At 44.3% G+C, this 6,000-nt stretch overlaps 1 protein-coding gene across 7 annotated transcripts in view; it reads right to left on the minus strand.

Moving 5' to 3' along the window:
• Positions 1-5,141, minus strand: part of TEKT3 (tektin 3) — a 39,860-nt gene extending 34,719 nt beyond the window's left edge. For 4 of the 7 annotated variants that reach the window (XM_017024955.2, XM_011523990.3, NM_031898.3 and 1 more), the window contains exons 1-2: positions 2,988-3,067; positions 1,498-1,531 (exon numbers count right to left, since the gene is read on the minus strand). The gene's annotated coding sequence lies outside the window, so the exon portion shown is untranslated. Of the gene's footprint in view, positions 1-1,497; positions 1,532-1,891; positions 1,911-2,987; positions 3,068-4,984 lie in introns of those variants that run through there. The other 3 variants (XM_017024954.2, XM_011523988.3, XM_011523989.2) reach the window with 3 other exon arrangements.
• Positions 5,142-6,000: the final 859 nt, after the last annotated feature.

A 6,000-nucleotide genomic window follows, 5' to 3' on the forward strand; every position in this document is an offset into this window, starting at 1 on the left:
TCTCGCTCTGTCCCCCAGGCTGGAGTGCAGTGGCGCCAAGATGGCGCCACTGCAAGCTCCGCCTCCTGGGTTCACGCCATTCTCCTGCCTCAGCCTCCAGCGTAGCTGGGACTACAGCCGCCTGCCACCACACCTGGCTAATTTTTTTTTTTTTTTTTTTTTTTTTTTAGTAGAGACGGGTTTCACCGTGTTAGCTAGGATGGTCTCGATCTCCTGAACTCGTGATCTGCCAGCCTCGGCCTCCCAAAGTGTTGGGATTACAGGCGTGAGCCACCGCGCCCAGCCAGTCAATTCTTAAGAGAGCATGTGCAGCACATACTAAGATCATTAACCGATGCTATAAATATCTCATACTTGCAAAGAAACAGCAAATTCTTTGGAAAAATGACTGAAAATAGCTATGGAAAAATCCCCTAAATTAGGCAACTGCTTATTATACATTTAATCATGATGTTTTGGTTTGAATGTTTCCCTCTAAAACTCAAGTTGAAATTTAATTACCATTGTGCAGTATTAAGAGGTGAGACTTTTAAGAGGTGATTATGTTATAAGGGGTCTGACCTCATGAATGGAATAATGCCATTATTGTGGGAGTGGATTAGTTATCACAGAAGTGGGCTCCTGATAAAATAATAAATTCACCCCCGTTGTCTCTGTCTCTTTCATTCACTTGTCCTTCTGCCATATTATGATGTAGCAAGAAGACCCCCATCAGATGTAGCCCCTGGATCTTGGACTTCCTAGCCTCCAGAACTGTGAGCCCAATAAATCTCCGCCTTTATAAATCACCCAGTCTCTGGTATTCTGTTATAGCAGCAGAAAACTAAGACATGTGCCCAAACAGAATTTTAAGAAATGAGACATGGGCTACAAAGTCAAATACAATGTTTGACTAGGTGCACTTAATTTACAGTCAACTGTTATTTACATACTGAAAAAAATGCTACAATAGTCTTCCATAAATATTAACATACTAAATATAGAATCAATCACACAGAGATTTTAAGAACCGGAAAGCTCCATTTGCTATCCAAAAGTTGGCTTCATACTGGGTAAACATTTTATTAGCATATTTAAGCAAGACTGGAAGATCATAAATATTTTAAAGTACAAAAATCTACAGACCATTTTCTGCAGAAGACACAAGTTTACATGACTTGCCCCACACCCTGCCTTAGATCAGGGGCAAGCATAGGCTTGAAGGGCTCACATACAAACCCCTTTAGTTCCTTTGTAGCCACTTAATTACAGTTCTAAATAGGAGCGGAAATAAAACAGCGCTGCCAATACACTAACAAATACCAGAAGTAGAAGAAATCATATCAGACATCAATGTTTAATTTCTCTTTATGCATATATTACATAAGAATACAGGAAAACTTCATCTCTTCAAAAAAAAAAGTTTGGTTAAGGAACTCTATTCATCGATGGTATATAAATTATTACACTTTGGAGAGCTAGATGGTGGTATCCAGTAAAGTTGAAATGGCAAATTACCTGTGACTCAGCAATTCAATTTCTTGGTATGTACCTAGAGAAATGCAAATATGTTTACAATTAGAATGTACAAGAATTCCTTTCTAGTATTTTTAAAGGGAGCAAACTAAAAGTCCATCAACAGGAGGATGCATACATAATATGTGGTAAATTCATGCAAGAATCACCACACAACAGTTCAAATGAATGACCTGCAACACGTACAGCATAACCATTCTATCAACTTAAAAAGTAACAGTAGGCCGGGCGCGGTCCTCATGCCTGTAATCCCAGCACTTTGGGAGGATCACGAGGTCAGGAGTTCGAGACCAGCCTGGCCAACTTGGTGAAACCCCCTCTCTACTAAAAATACAAAAAAAAAAAAAAAAAATTGGCCAGTTGTGGTGGCAGGCACCTGTAATCCCAGCTACTCAGGGGGCTGAGGCAGGAGAATCGCTTGAATCTGGGAGGCGGAGGTTCCGGTGAGCTGAGATCATGCCATTGCACTCCAGCCTGGGCGACAAGAGCGAGACTCCGTCTCAAAAAAAAAGTATACATTGGTTTAGGATAAACATATGAGTAGTAAAAGTATAAAAATATGCAGAATATAAGTAAATGCTAAATTCTGTTGGTTAATAGGGATAGGTAAGGAGAGAGGGGAATGGGATTTCCAAGGGTTACATAACAGACCTTAATTGTGCCTGTAATCGATTTTTTGTTGGTTTAAGTTTGGACTGGGTACATGGATTCACCCCTGGGTTCACTCTACTTATTGTGTGAAGTATTTTATTTTAAAGAAGAAAAAAGTAGAATATTTTGTCAGTTACCTCAAAACATTTTCGCCTGTTAGTAAAACTGTATATTTTTTTCACAATAATCAAACAAATAATTTTACCCATTTCCAGGATGTTTATTTCTCTACAATACTATATACATCCAGGAGAAAACATAAAGGGGTTTGGTCTAAACTGCCCAAACACAAGCGAAAGCTTTGCAGCCAAGCTAAACAGAAACGACTTTGGGCGGTGAGAGAACAGCTTTGATCTGAATTTAAGGAGCTCGGTCTACAAGACCAGGTGATTGAACTCTCCTCCCCGTGGCTGCAGATCTGAAGGCTCGGCTATTGAAGCAGAGGGGGACGAGGAACAGCGTGCGGGGCGGCCAGCACCGCAGTGGAAAGGCACAGCGCTGCTAACGGGTAATTATTAGAATTAAGAAATTAAACGAATTAGCACAGTGTCGGGGGTTCGGATGCCCCTTCCCTGGGCATCCCTTGAAAACCCTTGAAAAGCATCAGAAAGGTAAATTACGAGGAAACCAACGTCTGGGTGGGAGGTGCCTGTGGATTTGTACGGTTTTTATTTGGAAGGAAAAGTGAAGATCGCGGGGAGGAATTGCAGGGTGTCCGCGACCTCCCGCGATCCTGAGGCGAGAAGTTGGAGTCCTGGTTGGCGAAGGGGGATCCTTTGGGGTAGTCCTAGAGGCAGGCTAGAGTCAGCGAGACCACTCACCTGTCGGCGGATGCCCGGCGAGGGGCGGGAAGGGGCTGTGGGAGGAAGGGGTCGCAGCCTACCACCTGCAGCCCTCGACTGGGGCCCAGACCAGTCTGGCCCTGGCCCCGCCTTTCCTATCTGTGACGATAGCAGCGCCTGAGGGCCACTCAGCGGCCGCCCCGGCCGGCTCGCCGGAGCTGACTGGCCAGTTATAGGAGAGGCGGGAGCTGTCAGGCCAGGAGGGAAACCCGTCGGGCGGCGGTTACTATGGACGCGCTCACGCTTAGTAACCGAGGCTCCCCGCCCTCCGGGAGACCTCCTTGGTTTGGGAGGTGAAAGGGGTGAAGAGTAGCCCAAGGGAGAGGCCTCGGTGATTTCCCGACCTCTCCTGTGAAGCCTGATTCGGAACTCTTCCAGCTGCGAAGAACTTGGCCGATTCTAAGGCACATCAGGGCTGCCTGGAACCCTAACACCTGCCTAGGTGTTGACAAGCCCCCACCTTTCCTGACCAGCCTCTCTTCTCTCCAGCAGAGCTTCTCCTGTGACAGAATTATCTAGTGTTCCTTCCCTGCTTCCTCACTCTAAGAAAATGGTTTGGGCTTTCCCTCTCTCTCTTCAGCAAATATTTCCGTAAACAGCAGCCCGTACTGTTTCTTCCAGGTGCTGGCCCACATTTTTACATACATACATCATTGCTCATCCATGCAACCTCTTTCCAAACCTGTAAGAGGGGTTTATATTGTACAGATGAAGAAACTGAAGTTCGAGAAGTTAATTGACTTAGACAATGTGACTCAGTGGCAGAGCTAACACTAAAACTCAAATCAGTCAAACTTCAAGGCATCTTTCCATGAGGCAGCAGTCTAACCGTGTGAGCAGCAAGAGAATTCACCGAGTTACTTTGGTAACTAGTAATGCTAAAGAAAATAAAGCCCTCAGTTAATTATTTTTGGCTTTTCTGGGAATCACTGTGTGGCACTCCACCCAAGGACGAGGCGGAGGGACTTGCCAGGATAAGGCAGGCTGCCCAGCCCCTAGGAGACCTCAATGAAGTGACTTCAAGTCGGGGGCTGGTCCTCAGCTTTGCCAATTCAGACTCTTGGTTATGCCAGTGTCCCGAGTTTATTAGAGGCTGACTCAGGCCAACCGAACTCATGGGAACCTAATCTAGAAAAGTTAGAATGCTGCCTCAAGTGTTTACATTAAGCAACACGACCCCTCTAACTGTGGAGATGAGCCCAGAGTATTTTCCCCAAAGAGGAAAACCACAGAAAACACCCAGTGCTCAGAGGCTACTCATTTGCCTAGACACAAGACTAGACAAGGCTCCCATACCCGACACCAGGGCACTGCAAATCCTGACTAGTTTTCCCACTATGTTCCTTATCAGCAACTTTTTCTACATTCGGCCTAAGAAACATTTCACTCTGAGCTGTCTTTTTTTATTACTTTTTTCTCATGCATAGTGTTCTGCATTTTGTATTTTCAGTATTCAGCACGGGCTTTGCAGATGCCTAGAATCCGTAGACAATGCAGCAAATGATGCCATGTTTGTTCTTTGGGCCAAAAGACTGGCAACTGTTCTAAAGTAGATCTGATTGCCCACAAACTCTTTAAAGATGATGAGCAGTCTTTGTGCTTTGCACACATCTAGATGCCCAATAGCATTGCTAATTGAAGACAAAATTCATTCAATGTCTGATTTAAAAATAAACAGGTGAAATTATAGCAGAATTTGATCTTTTCAATGATACATTGAGTCAGTGAATTTCAAAAACCTCCTGATTAAAATTTCAGGTTAAATTGATCAACTCTGTTCTCCATAGAAAGGATTGAATGATGTTTTGGAAATAATTTAGATACCCTCTCAAAAAAAATTGTCTCATGATTATCAAGTCTTTGCCAGAATTGAGGTTAATGCTTGCCCTTCAGTTTTACAGTACGATAGAGACCTCCTACAATGCTTATTAAAAAAAATAAAGCAAGACCACTAGGATTCAGCTATTCAACCTTACTTTCTCAGCAGCTCCACAAGTTCAGGAATGTGTCTGTTTCTGTTCATCTCTGTATCCCCAGCATGGGGCTTCCTACCTGCCATGAAAGAGGGACTCAGTCAATGTTTGTTAAATGAAAGCATGAAGTGTGATGTTTAGTGGGGTAGGAAACTATCAAAGATACAGAAGTGGAGAAGCAATAAAGCAGACTTTGCCTATTTTATAACTTTGCCTTAGTCATTTTCATAACTTGAAGTCATTTTTATAACTTCCTTAGCTGCTACATTTTCACTCTATTTAGAGTCACCAAACCTCCTCTCCAGTCTTTCTGAGCCTTCCTATCACTCAACCATCGCCCTTCATCAAGATGCTATCAGCCCCTTTGAGCTGTCTATCCTTATCAGAAATCAAGTGTGGGCCTAGCCATCTTCACCCCTGGACTTCCACCCCCGTTCCCATCCTCACAGTGACTCACGTCCACAGCCTGCTTTCTCCATTTCTCCTCCAGCACTAAAGTTAATCATCACATTCTTCCTATTCCCCTGACCTCACCCCATGCCTCTCTCCCCCTCACTCACTGCGTACTAGCTACACTGGCTTTTTTTGTTTGTTTGTTTGTTTGTTTGTTTTTGAGATGGAGTTTCACTCTTGTTGCCCATGCTGGAGTGCAATGGTGGTGCGATCTCTGCTCACCGCAAATTCTGCCTCCCAGGTTCAAGTGATTCTCCTGTCTCAGCCTCTCGAGTAGCTGGGATTACAGGCATGTGCCACCATGCCCCGCTAATTTTGTATTTTTAGTGGAGACGGGGTTTCACCATTTTGATCAGGCTGGTCTCGTACTCCCGACCTCAGGTGATCTGCCCGTCCTGGCTTCCCAAAGTGCTGGGATTACAGGTGTGAGCCACCACACCCAGCCTACACTGGCTCTTATTCAGGTTTCTTGATGCTCTAAGCTCTTTGCCACCTCAGGGCCTTTGCACATGCATTTGTGTCATTCCAGTTTCCAGTTATTTATTTTGTGTGATTATTTAATTAAC

This window comes from Homo sapiens, chromosome 17, assembly GCF_000001405.40.
Source record: "Homo sapiens chromosome 17, GRCh38.p14 Primary Assembly".
Lineage (NCBI taxonomy): Eukaryota > Metazoa > Chordata > Mammalia > Primates > Hominidae > Homo > Homo sapiens.